This window comes from Homo sapiens, chromosome 7 (genome assembly GCF_000001405.40).
Source record: "Homo sapiens chromosome 7, GRCh38.p14 Primary Assembly".
NCBI classification, from domain to species: Eukaryota; Metazoa; Chordata; class Mammalia; order Primates; family Hominidae; genus Homo; species Homo sapiens.
Window position 1 is genome coordinate 20,735,308 of NC_000007.14, and position 22,622 is coordinate 20,757,929.

A 22,622-nucleotide genomic window follows, 5' to 3' on the forward strand; every position below is an offset into this window, starting at 1 on the left:
GCCAAAAGAGCAACATAGGTGGGTTTTCAATGAGTATTAACAGTGGGTCGATACCTTAACATAATAAAGGATGGACAGAAGGGAGCTAGGCCTGCACCATCATCTTTGCCCTAGGAGGCTGGGCAGCCAGGGAAGAACTGTGAGTGTTATTGCTGTGTTAAGGAAAGCAACACTGGTTACACAAAACAAAGAAAACAGGAAAGACTTCTTTCCATGTTGGCTGCCATGGCAGCCACCTAGCTCTTGCCTGGCTCCTCCCCAGAGATTATCCGGAAGAGACAGACAAGGACAAGATAAGAAGGCTAAATCAACCACTGAAGGGACCTAAAGAAGAGAAATCAAAGGACAGTTGATATCTAGGGCCTTCAGAAGATTCTAAAATGGAAAGCAAGTGGTAACAAACTCCAACATGTAGGAAAAGACCATTCCAGCCAGCTTTCCACTGCAAGGAAGACCATGTAGGGGAAAACACAGAGAGGAAGGCAGCTCACGTTCCAACCCTACAATCTCATGTCTTCTGGGCAAATTGCATAATTTTTCTGAGCTAGAGTCTCCTCATTCATTGACTGATAAGTTTCCATTCTACTTATCTCCTAGGTGATTAGATGGTATCTTGTATATGAAAACATTCTATAAGATCCAAAGAACCAAATAAATGTTAGTTGCTTATTTTCTCCTCCTATCTGTTGAGAAAAGGATTTAGGGCGGGAAGAGGTCTCTGGGTTGTATATGGATGATATACAGATGAGCATGGGAATAATTTTAATGACTACCTCTATGGGGAAAGATACTCTGCCTTCTAATCAAAGAAAGAAACTTACTGAGTAAGGACTTGGAAAGTTGTGATTTGACCTGCCGTGCTAATCTATTGCTACAGAAGTGTGAGAGCTTTTTTTTTCTTTTTTGTTGTTGTTGTTGCTGTTTTTCTTGAGACGGAGTCTCACTCTGTCACCAGGCTGGAGTGCAGTGACGTGATCTCAGCTCACTGCAACCTCCACCTCCCGGGTTCAAGCAATTCTCCTGCCTCAGTCTCCTGAGTAGCTAGCATTACAGGTGTGTGCCAACACACCCAGCTAATTTTTGTATTTTTAGTAGAGATGGAGTTTCACCATGTTGGCCAGGCTGGTCTTGAACTCCTGACCTCGTGATCCACCCACCTCGGCCTCCCAAAGTGCTGGAATTACAGGCATGAACCACTGCACACAGCTCCTGTTAGTGACTTTAAAATATTTGTCATGATACCAAATTACTCCTCTTCATATATCCCAAATGGGTGAAACTCCTCAAGACCAACAGTGACATGAGAGATTGTTGGCCTGTACATTTCTCCCAGTTAGGTGTTCAGTTCAAATGCCTCCAGGAGCTTAAACCAGATTTGAAGGATATGGTTTAACTATGTTACGGAGTTACAGCACGGGTTATTCTACAATAAATACTTGTTGAGTGGAACTGAATTTCAGTTTAGCTCACCCTAGCTAATTGGGTCTGATTAGGTAAGGACAAATTCTGTAGCAGACCAGTTTTTTCCATGTGTGGGCCTTGGCCTACCTTTATACAGAATCCACCTGGAGAAAAAGCGTAAAGAAGATTACTGTCCCTAGGCCGGGCGCAGTGGCTCATGCCTATAATCCCAGCACTTTGGGAGGCCGAGGCAGGCGGATCACTAGGTCAGCAGTTCGAGACCAGCCTGGTCAACACAAAAATTAGCTAGGCATGGTGGTGCATGCCTGTAATCCCAGCTTCAGGAGGTGGAGGCAGGAGAATTGCTTGAACCCAGGAGATGGAGGTTGCAGTGAGCTGACATCATGCCACTGCACTCCAGCCTGAATGACAAAGCAAGACTCTGTCTTAAAAAAAAAAAAAGATGAAGAAGATTAGTGTCCCTCACTCAACCCCAGATAGTCCAACACCTCAAAGTCCACACTTCCCCTCCAGGGTCTTCAACATAACCCTCATCGGCATCAGCCCCCATCCCACTTACGTTTCTCTCAGCACTCACTCATTAAAGACGGTATCAGGGCTTTTGCTTGTACTCTCCCTTCTCTAACTGAACCCTTTCTTCCGGCTCCATTCTCCATCCTTTGGGTCATTTACCTCCCACAAACACAAGCTCTGAGTTGAAGGCCCTTCTCCCTTTCTCATTAATATTTCCATTTTCAGAGGGACCTAACAAGGATGTCTGCCTCTAGACATTTATGTCTAATGCTTACCATTACTGTTATAGTGGGAATGTTAGGACAGGTAGAGATTTTAGCATATCTCAAATCATGGGAAGAAGCTATTTTCTCAGTTATTGATTTCAGAGAAGCCTCTACCCCTTTGGGACTAGAAACCAGGTCTCCTAACTCATAATCCAATTATCTTCCCAGCTCACCTGCTGATTCTTGGATCAGACTGAGGCTTAAGTCTGACAGTCTGATTTTTCCTTGCATTAAAAACACATTTAAAAAAAAAAACCTTCTGATTTGGTTACCTAAACTCAGTGACCATTTCTGATGTTTATAGCTGGGTATCAAATAATTCAAATGGCATTTTGAGCTTTAAACACTTTCTGTAAATATCAGTACTAAAAAATGCCTTGACATCACTGAACTAAATAACAATTATTTTAGTGTTATTTTTGTTTTTATATTTTATACTGTGTTTGATCTTTGTAAAGCCAACAGGATTCAGGATCTGAGGTCTAGGTCACTGAAGAGATTGCATCAGCATCTACATCTACCCTTTGATAGGCCCCATTGAGGGAGAAATTCACAAGGAGCCCAGACGTGTTTACTTTGCTGTTATCCAGCACTGCAAACAAGCAACTGGGTTCTGTGATGACCCTTTACTGCCTAATGTTTAAATATTGCCAGCGACACTGGTCCAGTTTTAGCCTGATTGTGCCGTTAGGTTTGTTACTAAGATGCATTGTTTTGCATTCTAGTACACTACTTTCATATCTAAAATGAAATCGAAAATGAGAGGAAAATATTTAACCATGGTCAGGTCCTGTGCCACAGTCGAGTAAATATTCTGTGTGCTTCCAAACATCATTTGCACACTTACCATTTTATAATTAACATGTTTTGAAACTGAGATCATAATCAATAACAAACCTAAAAGATCAAAGTTCTTCTTTCAGTCTTTTTAGTCAGATTTTGCTTTGGGAACCTGAGGAAAATACGATCCCCATGATTTGCTCTCTAAATAATGTAGCATATCAGACAGATAACCAGTCATTTAGCTTCAGTTATCTGTCCTAACTACATTATATGCAAAACAAACAAACAAAAAATCATATCTACTGTGTAAATCCAGATCTCACTACTGGAGATTCATTCTTCCTATTGTCAGTTGAATTCTCTGTCAAATCTCCAAGCAAGCAAGCCTCATATCAAGATGACTAAGAAGTTTTATATTCACTAGTTGGGACCTTTGATCTGTGGCTCTAATTGGAAGAGACATTTTTAAGATTACCCAAGCTCCAAAGTTCATTTTGGTGTACAGAGCAAGGAATGATTACTACATGGTAGAAATTTTTTAAAGAGATAACTTGGTGGGTCTTCAGCGTTAGGGGTGCCGTCTACATCAAAAGATTATATTCCTGTGCCTGCTTTTTTCTTTACTTTTAGAGTTCTACTGTTTTACAAAGGATCGATGGACCTAAGATTCAAATGCTTTATCTTTTGATAGAGTTTTTACTGCAATTGCATATGGAGCTATGGCCATCGGAGAAACGCTCGTTTTGGCTCCTGAATATTCCAAAGCCAAATCGGGGGCTGCGCATCTGTTTGCCTTGTTGGAAAAGAAACCAAATATAGACAGCCGCAGTCAAGAAGGGAAAAAGCCAGTAAGCACAACTGTGATCTTAAATGTCCAAATAAAGATGGCAACAGTAGGAACTGGGGGCCACTGAAGATGGGAGGGAGAGAGGGGCAAGGGCTGAAAAACTAACCATTGGGTGCTATACTCAGTACCTGTGTGACAAGATCATTCATACCCCAAACATCAGCATTACGCAATATACCCAGACAACAAACCTGCGCATATACTCCTGGATCTAAAATAAAAGTTGAAAAAATAAAATGTAACATAAATGAAAAATAAAAATAAAAAATAAATGTCCACTTATTAAATGAAGGCTGTCTTTGGAAAACTCTGCAAAAGATAATGTCATAGTAACATAAAGAGTTAAAAGTTTGTGCAAAATAATTTTATGGCTGCAAACGGGGAAAAGGGGTCTTGTCTTAATCAAATTTTTACCTCTACAACTAAAATTTATATTTCATATTTTAAAATATATGCTTTTAATTTATATGCCTGATGCTATGAGAATGTTCTTGAAAAAAAAGATTGATTCTTATACTGAATTCTACTGAGAAACTAAAGTTTTGATCTTGGATGAAGATTCGTATTAAGGTTTATTTGTTTTTTTTTCTCTGATAATATATGCAAAGTAAATAATATTCTGCTGCTTCAGACACCATTTTTCATGGGAAATATATTTACAAACAAAGGGGAAAAAAAGGAAAGTATACCTATTAAATTGATGCACACAAACAAATTTAGCCTCAAACTCTAAAAGACTGTGAATATTAAAAGAGAAATAATAGGTAGGGTGTATAATTTCAAAATAAATCTCTCAATAATAGTCTTATACAGCTGGGCGTGGTGGCTCACGCCTGTAATCCCAGCACTTTGGGAGGCCGAGGTGGGTGGATCACGAGGTCAGGAGATCGAGTCCATCCTGGCTAACATGGTGAAACCCCGTCTCTACTAAAAATAAAAAAATTAAAAAAATTCAGCCGGGTGTGGTGGCACGCACCTGTAGTCCCAGCTACTCGGGAGGGCGAGACAGGAGAATCGCTTGAACCCGGGAGGCGGAGGTTGCAGTGAGCCGAGATCACGCCACTGCACCCCAGCTTGGGCGACAGAGCGAGACTTGCTCTCAAAAATAAATAAATAAATACAAAATAAATAATAGTCTTATACATTAAATATACATTCAATTTTAGTACTTTTCTAGACATTTTAATTTTTAAAATAAAAATAGTCCATTAGGTATATACTTAAATGTTTTTAACTTATAATTATTTCCCTCTAGAATTTTAATAGATTTATATGTATGACAGCTTAAAATACAGCATTACTAGAGCTACACAATGGTTAAGAAGAATGCCTGTTAGTGACAGAAATAAGACTATCTGGAAATTCTCAAAATAGAATGCTTCAAAGATACATCACAGTCAAAATAAGATTTTGTTCTTGTATTTTGGAAAGTAAAGGATGTAAGAAGCTTTTTTTTAATTTTAAGATTTATATGTATAACAGTATTGCTACTCCTATTTCTTTCTGCAGATTATAACAGAGGAATTGAGTATCTCACTGATCTATGTCCTTACAGAACCATAGGCATGGCATAGACTATGGAAGTGTTTCTTATAAAGGCTATAAAATTAATGAATTTAATCCTTATTTTATTTAGTATGTAAATGTTTCTGAATATCACTCTACGCTTTTAAAAATTAAAATCTGGGCAGGGTGTGGTGGCTTACACCTGTAATCCCAGGACTTTGGGAGGCTGAGACGGGCGGATCACCTAAGGTCAGGAGTTCAAGTTCAGCCTGGTTAACATGGCAAAGCCCCATCGCTAACAAAAACACAAAAATTAGGGTGTGGGGGCAATGCCTGTCACCCCAGCTGCTCGGGAGGCCGAGGCAGGAGGATCGCTTGAACCTGGGAGGCAGAGATTGCAGTGAGCCGAGATCACACCACTGTACTCCAGCCTGGGTGACAGAGCGAGACTCCTTCTCAAAAAAAAAAAAAAAAAATTAAAGTCTGGTCAAACAAAATTGGCAAATATTGAAATTCCAGCTGGGTGATAGGTATGTGGGCCATTTATTAAATTTTTCTCTCTATTTTTATACTTTTGGAGTTTTTCATATTAAATAGAATTAAAAATCGTAAGAATAAATTTTAAATGTATTAAATTTAGAAGTTTTCTAGAATACCTCTGTGAGCTATTATACAAAATACTTACAAGAGCATACATAAAAATAATTGAATTCTTCATGTTTCTGCGGTATTCTGTTTTTTTAAAACCTTTTTTATACAAATGCAGAGAGGGAAGTACACCAAAAAAAATTTAAAAAATAAAACAAAAAGAAATTTTTTATACAAATAATATTCATAGGTTGTAGGGGGCAAATGGAAAATACTCACTACACTAAAATAAACGACTACTACACTACTTTTAAATTTTGGCAAATATCCTTCCAGATTTTTTTTTTCTATTTCTAGATCTCTTAACCACATCTTAACATCAAATTCTTTTAACAAGAAAATAATATCATAAAATTTTTTTTGTTTACTCCTCACCCCTACCTGCCCTTGCTTCTTACCTATAATATGATGGGCTCAGAATGGGTCAAACATGACTAGTAAACCTGACTGTAAGGATGTGTTTTAAAATCCAGCCATCACTACCACCACACACACATGCACACACACACACAAATCCACTACTCCTTAGTTGTTTAGTCTAACAACAAAAATTAATAAGACTTAAAATGCAATTGAGAAGAACACAAAGATCAAAAGAACTTAAAATCTTATGAACCAAATATATAAAGGGAAAGTTAATCATTTAGTGATAGTTCTGGAAAGTCTTTTTTAAACATCCTGGTGTAGATGAGTATTGGTTTAGAAATCATTAACCAGTAAAGAGATTGATGCACAGAGAGAAACTAAATGTTTAGGCAACTGTCACTGCCAAATAATGGTCAATTGAAAATAAAGATAGGGCTGGGTGTGGTGGCTCACGCCTGTAATCCCAGCACTTCGGGAGGCCAAGGTGGGCAGATTGCTTGAGTCCAGGAGTTTGGAACCAGCCTGGGCAACATAGTGAAAACCCATCTCTACTAAAAATACAAAAATTGGCTGGGTGTGGTGGCGCACGCTGGTGGTCCCAGCTACTCAGGAGGCTGAGGTGGGAGGATGGCTTGAGCCTGGGAAGTGGAAGTTGCAGTGAGCCGAGATCACACCACTGCCTTCCAGCCTGGGTGACAGAGCTAGACCCTTTCTCAAATAAAATAAAATAAAATAAAATAAGAAAGATAAATCAGAATTCAAAACATACTGTACCTTCACTATAAAACATGGCCCAATTTAGAGAAATAACCCTCATACATATAGTTTATGAGAACCCCAGCTCTTCTGAATTAAGCAATAAAGGTTTGTAAAGCACAAACCACATTAAAAAGAAAAACGTATTACCCAGATAAGCTGGTCAAACAACCAACTGCGGAATGGAACTGTCTGTGCAGCAAAGCTGAAGGAAGCAAGTGGTTTTTAGAAACTCAGTGAAGTCAGTAGTGAAGATAACAAGAAACACAGACACAAAAAAATATAAACAAAAGTGACAGAAACCCACTTGCAGTCAACAGCTCTACAGAGATGCATACATGTTTAAAATTAAAAGGGCTCTGGAAACATGCACAATTTTCAAAATGAACTTGGCCAGTATGCTACAGTGTGTTACAACCTTCCCAAGTCATTCTTCTCAACTCTGTCAACTTCCTTTCACAGGACACATGTGAAGGGAATTTAGAGTTTCGAGAAGTCTCTTTCTTCTATCCATGTCGCCCAGATGTTTTCATCCTCCGTGGCTTATCCCTCAGTATTGAGCGAGGAAAGACAGTAGCATTTGTGGGGAGCAGCGGCTGTGGGAAAAGCACTTCTGTTCAACTTCTGCAGAGACTTTATGACCCCGTGCAAGGACAAGTGGTAAGACAGAACTGAAACACACCTAATCTGGGGGTTAGCAGTCCTATTCTTAAACATTCACTAGGGCTTAAGCATCCCCACTGGTTTGGGTGGGGCAAACAATGCAGAAGTTAAAAAGAAAAAAAATCTCTGTGTCAACCCTTAACTAAGAGGACAAGCAAACCATCACAAAAATGATGGTTAGGACTCTGAAGTGAAGCACAAAGGTCCAAAGATTCTTCAACCATTCTGGCAGCAGAAATGTTGATCTTAGCCATGGAATTACTTTAGAACATGGGTGCTGGAGATCTGGTCTAATGTTCACATCGTGGCTCCGTATTCTGTTGTGGTTTAAGACAGAGAGAACACTGTCCTCCACCTCCTTAGTTCAGGCTTCTGCTTTCCCACCACTCATCCCCACCTCCCAACTGTCAAAACTTTATGCACGGTTAAGGCTTATTGGAATCAGCTCCATGAAGTCATGCCTCTAATATCTAAAATAATGTAATCTCCCCATCCTTCGAAACTAAGGATTGTTTTTCTTACCTGGCACTTGTCTTACTATACCTTATATTGTGGTTTTTCCATTACCTTGTCCTCCCCCCACCACCCACCACCACATCAGCACACCCACACAAAGCTTCCTGTCCTGCCTCCTGCCCGTACAAAAAAGTTCCTAAAACTCAGACTGCCATGTTAGTCCTCATTCTCCTGCAACGTACAGTCTTTTCGCCCTTACAGATTCTCAATGAGTGTTTGCAAAACAGAGTTTAGGGACTCAAGGGAGTCCTAAAGGGCTCCCTTGAACTATGAGACACTCATCTATTCGCACATAGCATAGCACACTCCCTCTTCTAAACCTTCCACAGTTAGAACATACCAGTCTATGCCATCAATCAGGTCCTTCATGCCCTGGCCCCTGCCTCCCACTCCAAGCTCCTCTCATATCACTCCCCACGTCATCATGCACTGTGCTTTTTCTGTTTTTTGGGGGGCTTTTGTACGTTTTTTGTTTTGTTTTGTTTTTTTGAGACAGAGTCTTGCTCTGTGGCCCAGGCTGGAGTACAGTGGCGTGATCTCTGCTCACTGCAACCCCCGCCTCTAGGGTTCATGCGATTCTCATGCCTCAGCCTCCCAAGTAGTAGCTGAGATTACAGGGGTGTGCCACCATGTCCAGTTAGTTTTTGTATTTTTTGTAGAAACGGGGTTTCACCATGTTAACCAGGGTGGTCTTGAACTCCTAGCCTCAAGTCATCTGCCCACCTCAGCCTCCCAGTCTCCTCATGTTCTTTAAACACACCTATGAACCTTTCTTTTGCTATTGCCCTGACCAGAATGTCCCCTTTGCAGGCTCCTTCTCACTGTTCATGTCTTAGTCTGAACGTCCTTTCCTTAAGGCCTTCTTGTACAACCCCCTTCTCATGCCTCTCCATACCCTCCCCACTGCCTCAGTCGCTCTACCCTGTTACCCTGTCTTTAGGGTACTTTCCTCTCCTGAGTTTATTGAGTTATTTGTTCATGTGTTTATTGCATGCCTCTCTGCTAAAATATAAGCTACATCCATGGGGGGAGGGGGGAGGGACAGCATTAGGAGATATACCTAATGCTAAACCATGAGTTAATGGGTGCAGCACACCAACATGGCACATGTATACATATGTAACAAACCTGTACGTTGTGCACATGTACCCTAAAACTTAAAGTATAATAATAATAAAATTAAAAAAATATATATATATAAGCTACAAAAGGGAAAGAGCTTTCTCTTATTGACCACTATTTCCCTGGTACTGGAAGAGTCCCCCTCACGTAGTGAGCATGCTCATCAAATATGAGATGGTGTTGTTAAGAGTGTTGTTATTTATTTATGTGAATAAACATGGCTGTGTGCAAGATGACACAGCTTTACATGTGGAGTACTGTATCATCTCCACCTACTTTTTACTGGGCTTTCAGAAAGTCAGGTCCTGTTACAGTGGAGGGGGCAGTAGTGAGTTACACGCTGTTTGCTTCTATACAACGTATGATTTATGAGCCTTCCTTGGGTAACTTTATACTTTGAAATAGCTTGAATTCCTATCCTTCTTGTTATGATTTGTGTGTGTTTGAATACAGTGAACTGTAACATGATACAGTTGTGTGATCTTAACACACCATTCTCCAATCTGCTTTTGGCAGCTGTTTGATGGTGTGGATGCAAAAGAATTGAATGTACAGTGGCTCCGTTCCCAAATAGCAATCGTTCCTCAAGAGCCTGTGCTCTTCAACTGCAGCATTGCTGAGAACATCGCCTATGGTGACAACAGCCGTGTGGTGCCATTAGATGAGATCAAAGAAGCCGCAAATGCAGCAAATATCCATTCTTTTATTGAAGGTCTCCCTGAGGTAAGAAAATTTCTGAAATCTTGAATTATAAAGCTGCCAAGTAAGGCTAAGTAGCTACTGGGCCTATGCAGTTGTTTTTATGTATTCCTTGGATTATACAATGTATTTATTGCCAGAATCTAAAGTTAGATGTAAAACATGAAGTCAGATGCGAAAAACCAAGTTTGAGATTTTCGTGTGACGATTTTCCTACGACCAAAATGTATTAATATTCACTGGATTAACTTTCACATTTTGTTATTTGCCTTCCATCCATCTACACTGTGGCTGGTCCACACTATGACCTCCCCGCCACGGCGGTAGCCTCTTCATCTGCCTTCCAGTCTTGCTCCTTTATCATTTTTCTTCCTCACAGTAATCAGAGGGATCTTTTAAAAACAAATTAGATCCTATCCCTCCCCTGCTCACAACTGCCTCATGGCTCCCCTGTGCGCTTAGAATAAAGCCCACACACCCCATGGGGAGGGGCTGCTGAAGCCTCTGTAATCTGGCCCTGCTGTTTCCCCAGCAACAACCTCACCACACAGTCGCTTTGCTGCAGCTGAGCTGGTCTCTCCTGTCTCAAGAACATGCCAACTTGCTCCCCACCTTAGGACATTTGCGTTTGCTGTTTCTCCAGCCTAGACCTCCCTTAGGTTGGCTTTTGGCATAGTAGCGCCTTAACTTTCTTTTTTTTTTTTGACAGAGTTTCGCTCTTGTTGCCCAGGCTAGAGTTCCATGGTGCAATCTCAGCTCACTCAGCTCCACCTCCCGTGTTCAAGCAATTCTCCTGCCTCAGCCTCCCAAGTAGCTGGGATTACAGGCATGTGCCATCACGCCCGGCTAATTTTTTGTATTTTTAGTAGAGAAGGGGTTTCTCCATGTTGGACAGGCTGGTCTCAAACTCCCGACCTCAGGTGATCCACCGCCTTGGCCTCCCAAAGTGCTGGGATTACAGGCGTGAGCCATCGCGCCCGGCAAGTAGCACCTTAACTTTCAAGCCCTTTCAAATGTTACCTTTGCAGAGGCTTTCCCTAAACATCCTATTTTTAAAAGTCCTCACCAGTCCTATCCCCTATCACTTTGTCTTCAGGGCATGTATCACAGTCTGAAAATTACCCTGAGCACTTAGTTATTTGTTTAGTGTTTCCCTTCCCCACTAGAGTGTAAGATCCTTTTTTATCACCTTGATGTCTGTATTGGCTGTGGCAATTGGCACAAAATCTCAGAAAAGTCAAAAATCTTGGCTAACTGTAGAGAAGCCTTTGGTAGTGCAAGCATTGATACAAATCCAAAAACAGTGCACAGAGAGGGATAATTGTAACTTTAAGTGTTTATAATATCTGAGTGTTTGCAACACACATACACACACATAAAATAAATTAAATGAAATAAAAATAGAGATATTTTCATGTAGGGGCGAATTTCTACATGTGATTTTTATAAACTAAGTTTCTATCTCACTTTAAAGGGAGATAGTTAAATTTAACAACCAATATATCAAACAACTAATAATCTAGAGCCCTGTTCTTTGGTGAAGGCCAATAGCCATCATACTCTCTAACTTTTATACTCTTTCCCTCACCAGCTCTTCTCCATACTACATAGTGCCTACATGTACAAACAGGATTTCCCTTACTCTGGTAAGGGTTTGCAGTACTAAAGACATAGGAAGGATTCACATATTTTTTATAAATATAGAGACACTGTGAATGTCTTTTAATGGCAACTTCCTTTTTAACCATGACACTCACTGCATTGTTAATTTGTGGTCAGATTGTTATCTGCATAATCTCGATAGTTTGTTTTATGTATTGTGAAATGCTGCCCAATTGATATTTGTACCATTTAACTTTTATTCTTTTTCCTTTGAGACAAGGCCTCACTCTGTCACCCAGGCTGCAGTGCAGTGGTGTGTTCTTGGTTCACTGCAGCCTCGACCTCCCAGGCTCACCTGAGTCTCCCGAATAGGTGGGATCACAGGCACATGCCACCATGCCTGGCTAATTTTTGTATTTTTTGTAGAGATGGGGTTTCATCATGTTGCTTAGGCTGGACTCAAGCTCCTGGGCTCAAGCAATTTCACCCACCTCGGTCTCCCAAAGTTCTGGAATTACAGGCATAAGCCACCACATCTGGCCTAACTTTTATTCTTAAATTGTTTATTATCTTCTATTCTTTTTATTGTACCAGTTCTCACATTTACTCAAAACTATATGCTGCAAAAATCCACTGTGCTAACTTTTTACAACAGACTTTGAAAACTAAGATGTTATTTCCTTTAACATTTTTTCTAAAAGACTAGCTTATTTTTCAGTGTTTTAAATTTTAACTTTAATTTACCTTCATGTCATTGTTCCCCCAAAAACACGTAGAAAAATAAGGAAACCTGATACCAAAATAAAATAGTTTAAAAAAAATCAAATCAGATAATTCCTAGAAAAGCTGCATATTACTAAATGCCTTCGGTTAGTACCCTGGGGAGAATAAGGCTGCCCTCTTATGCTCAGTTGGCTGGGAAAAACGAAGAGAGGAAACCAGCCACGCATTCCCCAGCCCTTCTGGGAACCAAGAACTAAGCTAAATTTCCACCATAGTACAGCAAGGATGCTGTAACTACCGCATTTTACAGATAAAGAAGTTCAATAACTTTCTTAAAGTTGTATAGAAACTCAGCATTTGAACCTGGATTCTTTGTGCTATCCTGAAGGGACGGAAAGGGTTCGTAACCATGGTGGTCCTAGGGTTTCAGAGATGGGAACAAAGGTGCCCTTGCTCCTCCCTTCAGAAGAGCAGTCCAAAGCAACCACCACAACTGTGGATAATGGCACTGGTATACTCAGAGTGACACTTAGAAACATGTTACAGCTCACACGTAGGTTTTTAGGGAAGAAAAGTGAACATGAATCTTGTAATTTGTTGTACTTCCTTCAGATAGAATTAATTTTATCTGAAGGTGTAGTGGCTCACACCTGTAATCCTAGCACTTTGGGAGGCCAAGGAGGGTGGATTACCTATGGTCAGGAGTTCAAGACCAGCCTGGCCAACATGGTGAAACCCTGTCTTTACTAATAATACAAAAATTAGCTGGGCATGGTGGCACACGCCTGTATTCCCAGCTACTTGGGAGGCTGAGGCAGGAGAATCACTTGAACCCGGGAGATGGAGGTTGCAGTGAGCCAAGATCATGCCATTGCACTCCAGCCTGGGCAACAAGAGTGAGACTCCATCTCAAAAAAAAAAAAAAAAAAAAAAAAAAAAGGGAATTAATTTTTTCTTGAGCAAATAAGTGGAGCCCAGCACTCCCTCCAAATACATGGCCACAGTGGCAGTGTGAAAATGGTGAAGCAAAAGTCTGAAAGAGTTCAGGTCTTCCAGTAACATGCAGTAAGCATAAAATATATACCCATATGTAAAACAGGCATAGGAAGAAAGTCGGCTTCACATAAGACACATTAATGTATTATTCATTTTAATTCTCTCCAAGAATTATTTAGCAAATTGAATTGTGTCACACTTTGCTTTCTGAGGATTTCTTTTACTTTTACTACAAACTTTGTGGATTGACCAATCTGCCATGTCCTGCTTCCTCAAAATTTACTTTCCCTGTCTTCCTTCCTTTCTTTGTCTCTCCCTTTCTTTCTCTCTCCCTTTCTTTCTCTTTCTTTCTTGCTTGCTTTTCTTGTATTTTCTTCCTTTCTCTCTCTCTTTCCCTTTCTTTTCCTCCCTCCCTCCCTCTCTCTCTCCTTCCTTCCCTCTCTACTTCCTTCCTTCCTCCCTTCCCCTCCCTCCCTCCCTCCCCCTCTCTCTCTTTCTTTCTTTTCTTTCTTCACAGGGTCTTGCTCTGTCGCCTAGGCTGAAATACAGTGGCAGGATCTCAGCTCACTGCAGCCTTGACCTCCTGGGCTCAAGTGTTCCTCCCACCTCACCCTCCCCGGGAGCTGCGACCATAGGTGCCTGCCACCTATGCCTGCCTAATTTTTTTTTTTTTTTTTTTTTTTGCAAAGATGGGGTTTCACCATGTTGCCCAGGCTGGTCTCAAACTCCCGGCTTCAAGTGATCCACCCGCCTCGGCTTCCCAAAGACACTGTGTCCAGCCCCATGTCTTCATTCCTCTATCCCAACATCCATGCATTTAGTCACTCAACACACAGCTACTGAGCATTTCTTTGCAAACCACTGGGCTTTTATTTAGGGAAGATAGGACAAATATAGTCCTACTTTTAGGAATATGAAGCCCAATAGTTAAGATGAACACAGATCAACACATACAAATAATTATAGTGCACAGAAGGTAAACAAACTTCCATCTGAGCCTAGAGGGGAGTAGAATCACTTCTGGCTGGGGGTTCAGAGGAGACCTTTGGAGAATTAAGAGGTGATCTGAGTATTGATCAAGTAGAATTTCAGTAGTCAAGGCTTTAAAAGGGCATTCTCTATAATGAGGCAATGGGCATAGCCTGAGCAAAAACATGGAGACAGAAACTATGGCAATGTTTTCATGGAACTGTAAGCCAATTGACAAAGAATAGAGTATATAAAGCTATGGTATTTGATAAGCATGTAAAGGTAAAAAGCTGGCACTTAAATCACAAGGAAAGAAATGTTTAAGTTTGGTAGTTACTAAGGAGTCACTGAAGATTTTTAAATAGGGAACATGTTGGGAATTGGATATTGGAATTACTCATCTAGCAGCAATGTAAATGACGGTAGAGAGTGACAAAGACACAGGCAGCTTGAGAGATCAGTTCAGAGCTATTTCCAGGGATAGGTTTTGAAGGCCTACAATAACAATTACAAAGTGAACTAAAACAAGAAAATTGATTTAAAAGATATTTTAAAAGTGGAATCAACAGGACTTGGCTCAAGATTGTTTCTGGAAAGTGAGCAAGGAAATGTACAATGCACTGAGCAGCCTCATGGAATAAAACACGGAGCAGTGATGAGAGTCCAAAGGCTTCCCCCTACACACACACACACACACACACACACACACACACACATATACACACAAGCCACACACAAATTGTGTATGTTTGATGAAAATTCATTTGGTGGCAAAATGATGTGAGGATATAATATAGTCCTTTATTTATATTTATCCCACTTAGAATAAATAATCAAATACATCTGCACAAAATTCATGTATTTGATTACCATTGCTTCCCCAGATCCTTCTGGGGGTGTTAAATAATATATTATCTATTAAATATAGATAACATATCGTATATGTATAATACGTAGACTTTTTTCTTCTAAGGTTGAAAAAAAATCAGAATTCTTAAATACAGATAACTCCAACGGTTTCGGTAAGGGAGTGTGGATCTGTGTAACGGCTCAAACCAGAAGGGTGCAGAGCAAGGAGTCAATTAGAACATGCTGAGTGTAATGTAATGCATCTACCACTTATCTCATAGAAATATCCCACAGGCATTTGGAAATACAGGCCTGGGGCATAGGACAGAAGTGGAAGCAACACCGCCTTGACCTCAAGGATCCTCTGAGACACACACCAGGTGTGGTTCTCTACTAATCTTCACAGTATCACCCAGTGGCAGCTCTCAGTCGAGCCACATCCTTAAGTAGGACTTTGACCACTGTAACCACCCTGAAAATCCAACCCAGTGCCTGCAGGGATTCTCCAGAATGCAGTTGCTTTAGGATTAGACTCTGGTGTTCCCTCTGGGACACAACTGACTTTTAGCTCCGGTTCATATTAAGGAGCCATTACCCCTTGAGTTTCTCATAAAAGAGGTGATTTCGGGGCACTCACCATCCCAGTGATTGCCAGAAAATGGATTCAAATTTTCGGCTAAAGAGAAACTCTGTGGTTCTTTGTTAAAAAACAAATAAAACCATCCTGGCTAACATGGTGAAACCCCGTCTCTACTGAAAATACAAAAAATTAGCCAGGCGTGGTGGCGGGCGCCTGTAGTTGCAGCTACTGGGAGGCTGAGGCAGGAGAATGGCGTGAACCCGGGAAGCGGAGCTTGCAGTGAGCCGAGATCGCGTCACTGCACTCCAGCCTGGGCTACAGAGCGAGACTCCGTAAAAAAATAAATAAATAAATAAAATTTAAAAAAATTAAAAAACCTTCATCCAATATGTTCTTTAAACTTACACTCTCCTACAATCCAGGGAAGGCCAAAGACTGCAAAGTGATTCCTAGTTTTGTATGTTCTTCAGCTGCCCTAGAAGAATTCATGTACAATTTAAGCTAGGCTGGCAGAAAGGGCTACGAGCTCATTATCATTCCCACCTCCCTTCCCAATTTTTAGTTTAAGATTGAATCCCCTCATTTAAATATGAACTTTGCAGTGTTTGGAAATGAACGGCAGACACAGTTTTATCTATGGTTCCAAATTTAACAAAATGCATTTTAGGAGGAAGGGGCCCAAGGCCTGCTAGTAGTCCCAGATAAATGACAGAGAAAACAGCGAAAGTCTGTATTCTTTGTAGAGCATTCACGTCAGAGAAGATATTTTTACTAGGCTTTAGTAATTCAGACACCCGTCCTTTGCTACAAAGCATGCACCTATGCATGTTAAATTGAAAAGTAAGCTTTGAGATGACGTAGACACATTTTGTTATAAGGTTATACCACAGGTTCGTGACACCAACTCTGTCCAAAATGCACTTCCTGAAGGCAGTCAGATGTGGAGAGAAAGGCAATTCCCTCAAGCTTCTCTAGATTACCAACACAAAATGAACAGCTAGGAATCACAAGCTACATGTGAAATGCTGCTACAGGATTAATCTTTCTGGCTATACCCTTGGACCAGCTTTCTCAATGGAACTGATCCATCTACACATTCTTGTCTAGGTACCAAGGGCTTATGTTTCTTACAAAAGTGCCAAGGGCCACTAGAAAGCAATGTGAAGCCTTGAAAGGAAGCAAAGTCAATGGGACAATCTAAAAAGCAGGCAAGAACCTGCTTACCCCAACTGTACTGACCAATTGTGATTCAGAGGACCATGATGGCTTCAAGATTTGTGTGAAATTTTCTTTACCCTTCCATGAAGGGAAACACTGGAGAAATTGGGTTATTAGTAAGTAGGGGAACTAAGAAAACACTGTGAAGTGCTAAATGTCACCATTACTACTTAGTGGCCTGAAAAGGTGAATAGACTGTTTCAAGACGCCAACCTGGCCAGGCGCGGTAGCTCACGCCTGCAATCCCAACACTTTGGGAGGCTGAGGAGGGTGGATCACGAGGTCAGGAATTCATGACCAGCCTGGCCAACGTGGTGAAACCTCATCTCTACTAAAAATACAAAAATTAGCCAGGCATGGTGGTGGGCACCTGTAATCCCAGCTACTTGGGAGGCTGAGGCAGAGAATCGCTTGAAGCCGGGAGGCGGAGGTTGCAGTGAGCCAAGATTGCGCCACTGCACTCTAGACTGGGTAACAGAGCGAGACACGGTCTCAAAAAAACAAAAAAGTCAACCTAACTTATTTCCAGGAAGATGCATGTACCACTGAGACTCCTATCCCAGCATCTGTAAGGATGTGCCCACAGAGGCTCAGCAAGAGCCAAAGTGAAGAAACTTCATAATTTCCTTGTTGTTTTTACTACTGCGAATCATTTTAACCTGAAAATAGTAGGTAGTATAACTTAATGGAAAAGGATTTGTGTTTACTGTGAACTTGTTTCTTGCCAGTAATTTTTTTCTTATGCTTTAATTTGAAAAATTTCTTTGTGGAAGCATAATGGCAGAGGTCTGCTGTCTGATCAGATTGGATATGTAAATGAGATGGTAGTGTTTACTGCGGCTTTAGCATTTATTTGCAACAAAGCCCAAGAATAGATTTCAACATTTGTTGGGACACAAATTTTCAAGAGTAGCAAAATTTGAAATATTTAGATGGTTCTCGCCCACAGTTGCCATGCTAATTTAAATAACCAAGACTTGCTTTCTTAATTGCATGCTCCTGTGATAGAAATACAACACACAAGTTGGACTGAAAGGAGCACAGCTTTCTGGCGGCCAGAAACAAAGACTAGCTATTGCAAGGGCTCTTCTCCAAAAACCCAAAATTTTATTGTTGGATGAGGCCACTTCAGCCCTCGATAATGACAGTGAGAAGGTAACATCATTTTCTTTTATCTCAGAATATAATACCAAATATAAGCATCCAATAACATGGAGGAAACCAAGGTAAGTTTGGAAAAACAAAGGCCTGGAAAGAATTGTAGTTCTAAGGTCACCAGTTCCAATTAAGGCTTTGGACCTTTACAAAAAGGTCAGTAGGTGGTGGGGAGGTGGGAGACAGTTGAGACAGAGGGAATCTCATGTTCCAGAAAGGTTTTCTCACTCAAATTTGTCTCATTATCAAAAGTGGACCAATTTTCAAAATGTTTTTTCATTCAAGGAAAGAGCCCAAGAAAAATAACTTTTCAATTTTATTATTATTCCAGTGATGCCAAACAAACTAATAAGGTAATTAGTATGGGTAAAAGAGTAATCTACACTGCAGGGTCAGAGCCTGAGAGTTATTCTACCTTCTACAGACTCAGCCTAGTTTGAGCGGGAAACAAGGAGGCAAAGTGACACATGAGAAAATACTTGCACAGCAAGCTTCTCCAGCTGTTTGATTTTGCTATGTCCTTATCCCTTAGGAGTTTCTTGCACATGTAGGCACTTATTTAGTAAATGAACATTGGTTAAATGAATGGTTATCATTAATATTTGTAGAGTATGCATTACATGCTATTATCTCAGTCTTCACAACAACATGACGAATGAGCTTCTTGTATTAGCATGCCCATTTTACAGATTGGCACACTAAGGCTTAGATTAAGTAACTTCTCTAAATTCTAATGGAGGGTATCTGACCTAAGAGCCCAGGCAGTTAATCCACCCATGATTGCTGCTTGAAGATGATTATTATTCTTGATTCTCAAAGCAACAATGTGTTATGAAAAATAAACAACAACTAACTTTTGGGATCAGACATATCTGGGCTGTAATCCTTACTTCATCAGTTACTAGCAGTATGACCTTGGTCTAACCTCAGTTCAGTTATCAGAAAAATAAAAATACTGTCATTTTATGAGGTTATTGAAAGAATTTAAATGAGATATCCATCTTGGGAACATTTTATGTATTCAACAAATATGGGTTTTCACCTTCCACTCCCACTTTCTCTATATAGCGTCATAACCTCACTGTTGGCTGAAATGCTATGTTAACAGGACAGTTCTACAGCTAAATCCTACCAAAAACAAAACAAAATCTATGAGAGAAAATTAGATAAATAAATTAGACAATTCTACTTAGGTATACTACTTAGAAATACTACTTCCTGACTTTGAGTTTAGAACTACTCAAAGAAATGATAGTAGAAATTTGAATAGTATTAGAACTACTCAAAGAAATTGTAGTAGAAATACTACTATAATTCTACTTAGAAATACTACTTCCTGACTGTGAGTTTAGAACCACTAACATATAAACAACTATTTCATTTTTATTCATTCTCACAAATGCTTTTCCACTGAAAGTCTTACATAATTTATCTGTAGCTAATCTTTCTTTTTTTTTTTTGAGACGGAGTTTCACTCTTGTCACTTAGGCTGGAGTGCAATGGCACGATCTCAGCTCACGGCAACCTCCACCTCCCAGGGTCAAGCGATTGTCCTGCCTCAGCCTCCCAAATAGCTCGGATTACAGATGCCTGCCACCACACCCAGCTAATTTTGTATTTTTAGTAGAGATGGGATTTCTCCATGTTGATCAGGCTGGTCTCGAACTCCTGACCTCAGGTGATCTGCCTGCCTTGGCCTCCCAAAGTGCTGGGATTACAGGCATGAGCCAATGTGCCCAGCTGTAGTTAATATTTCTAGATTTCTATTGAGTAAGGTGATTATTTTACAAGTAGGGCAGTTCCTTTGGGGACAAGCAAATAAAGCAAAGAAGGTTATTAGACTACCTTAATTGATTTGACTTAGGTAAGTTTACTAACATCTAACTCAAACTGGTGATCACAGGTCTTTCTCTCTTCCAGGTGGTTCAGCATGCCCTTGATAAAGCCAGGACGGGAAGGACATGCCTAGTGGTCACTCACAGGCTCTCTGCAATTCAGAACGCAGATTTGATAGTGGTTCTGCACAATGGAAAGATAAAGGAACAAGGAACTCATCAAGAGCTCCTGAGAAATCGAGACATATATTTTAAGTTAGTGAATGCACAGTCAGTGCAGTGATGCTGTTGAGGTAGCACATATTTTGATGTTCGTGTAATGCAAAGAAGGAGTACTTAATAATTACTTGGCAAGCTTTGATCTCTTTTATTGCATATATCAATACCTAGAATCATGCTACTCAAGTACATACATGTTCTATTCACACACCATCTGACCTTCAGATTTTTAAAAGGAAGCAAAAATTTGCTTATTTCATGTAAGTGAAATAATGCTTATATCCTTCACTTTATAAAACTATTCTAGCACATTTGCTTGTAAAGCAGTTTTCTACAAGGTGAATTTATTTCCCATCAACTTCTGCTATAAAATCGGAAATATGTTTCCAGGGGGAATATTATCCAATTAACCATGTTGAAGGTTTTAGCAAAGGCAGTGTAAGATAGAGTGGGGCCTGTAGCATTGCAGGGAGAGTGTCTTTCACTTGGAATTTTGTTTTGCAGCACATATTACAGTAGTTTTGCTAGTCCCTTTTCTCCAGACCGTAGGGATTTCTCTCAATAAGTATTCACTATTTCTCTAAATTTTATTCTATTTTTTTGTTGAGCAGGGAATAGAAAGGATTACGATGTAAAATTTCTGGGAGGATTAGGTAGCTATCTCCTACTTCACCAGTAAGTGAAGTGCCTCACATGAGCCATCCCAAAGATTCATTATTCCAAACCTTGGGTTTGGCAGTATAAGTCACAGGCCTACCTGTTTATGAAAACTTACTTACTTAAAATAAGAGCTACTTTTGGGCCGGGTGCGGTGGCTCACGCCTGTAATCCCAGAACTTTGGGAGGCCGAGGAGGGCGGATCACTTGAGGTCAGGAGTTCGAGACCAGCCTGGCCAACATGGTGAAACCCCGTCTCTACTAAAAACACAAAAATTAGCCAATCTTGGTGGCGGGCACCTGGAATCCCAGCTACTTGGGAGGCTGAGGCAGGAGAATCATTTGAACCTAGGAGGCAGAGGTTGCAGTGAGCCGAGATCTCACCACTGCACTCCAGCCTGCGCAACAGAGCGAGACTCCATCTCAAAAAATAATAAATAAGAGCTAATTTTATTGTGGGTGAAAATTTTTAAACGTCTTTCTCTATAATAAAATAATTTCCTTAAATTTTATATATACTTTATCATATATAATGTGTGAATGATTTTAAAGTTCTGTGTAAATAACAATATTGGTAAAATGAGTTACATTTTCAACTTACTTAAATATGTAATGTCACCTGGTGATTTTATCTTTATTCTTCAGTGTATTTTCTTCCATTTACACATTTAGCTAGCCTCCCTAAAGTGTACTCTACCAATAATTGAAATCTTGTTAAACAAAATTAAAACCATTTATATATTATGCTGCTTTCTTTAAAATGCAAAATAAAAATAAGATTGGGGACTTGAGAATCAGATGCATTGCTTAGACACATTGGTGCTGACTGCCATGTGGTTATTTTGCTATTCATGGATATAGAGCTCTTGGTAGCTTCTCTTCCCGGGGTAGGGTAGACAAGAAGAAAATAAAAATATAGTATGGACATGCTCAGAACCTCAGAGCAGGAGCACCACAGGCTCCAATTCTGTAATCCCTCCTAGAGGGGCAAATATGGTACCTGAAATGCCTGCTTACCCTTTGAACCTATCAACATCTGTCCCATACCTATAGATAGCAGTAAAACACATTCCTTTCTAATGTATAACCCTGCTAGTTTTTATTTCCATTTTATTTTTAATGAGTTTAAAGAACGCTTCACAGGCAGAATTCTCATCAATAAAGCCACTGCCTGCACTGGACCAAGCAATCATGCTGAGAATTGGGGTCCCAAAGAGTTTTTAAGGATTTGTAAGGTTATCAGCTGATGAAGGCAGAAAGTAGGTAGAGATCAACTACTTTTTAGGGGTTGCCACAATTTAAAGGTTTTTCTTTTTTTTTTTTTTTTTTTTTGACGGAGTTTTGCTCCTGTTGCCCAGGCTGGAGTGCAATGGCGCAATCTTGGCTCACCACAACTTCCGCCTCCCGGGTTCAAGCGATTCTCCTGCCTCAGCCTCCTGAGTAGCTGGGATTATAGGCATGCACCACCACACCCGGCTAATTTTGTATTTTTAGTAGAGACGGGGTTTGTCCATGTTGGTCAGGCTGGTCTCGAACTCCCGACCTCAGGTGATCCGCCCATCTCGGCCTCCCAAAATGCTAGTATTATAGACATGAGCCACCACACCCGGCCGACAATTTAAAGGTTTAAAATTGCTGTACTGTTCTTAAAGTTGTGTTTAAAATATATCATTTTCATTAAAACAATAGTTATCAGTTTTATAGGCATGACT

The 22,622-nt window shown here is 40.3% G+C and overlaps 1 protein-coding gene across 2 annotated transcripts in view; it reads left to right on the forward strand.

Annotated features, from left to right (window-relative positions):
• Positions 1 to 21,701, forward strand: part of ABCB5 (ATP binding cassette subfamily B member 5) — a 141,342-nt gene extending 119,641 nt beyond the window's left edge. For both annotated transcript variants that reach the window (NM_001163941.2, NM_178559.6), the window contains 5 exons: positions 3,676 to 3,832; positions 7,570 to 7,767; positions 9,925 to 10,131; positions 18,053 to 18,199; positions 20,120 to 21,701. In NM_001163941.2, the coding sequence (NP_001157413.1) occupies positions 3,676 to 3,832; positions 7,570 to 7,767; positions 9,925 to 10,131; positions 18,053 to 18,199; positions 20,120 to 20,317 (907 nt within the window). In that variant the 3' untranslated portion in view covers positions 20,318 to 21,701. The remainder of the gene's footprint in view (positions 1 to 3,675; positions 3,833 to 7,569; positions 7,768 to 9,924; positions 10,132 to 18,052; positions 18,200 to 20,119) is intronic.
• Positions 21,702 to 22,622: the final 921 nt, after the last annotated feature.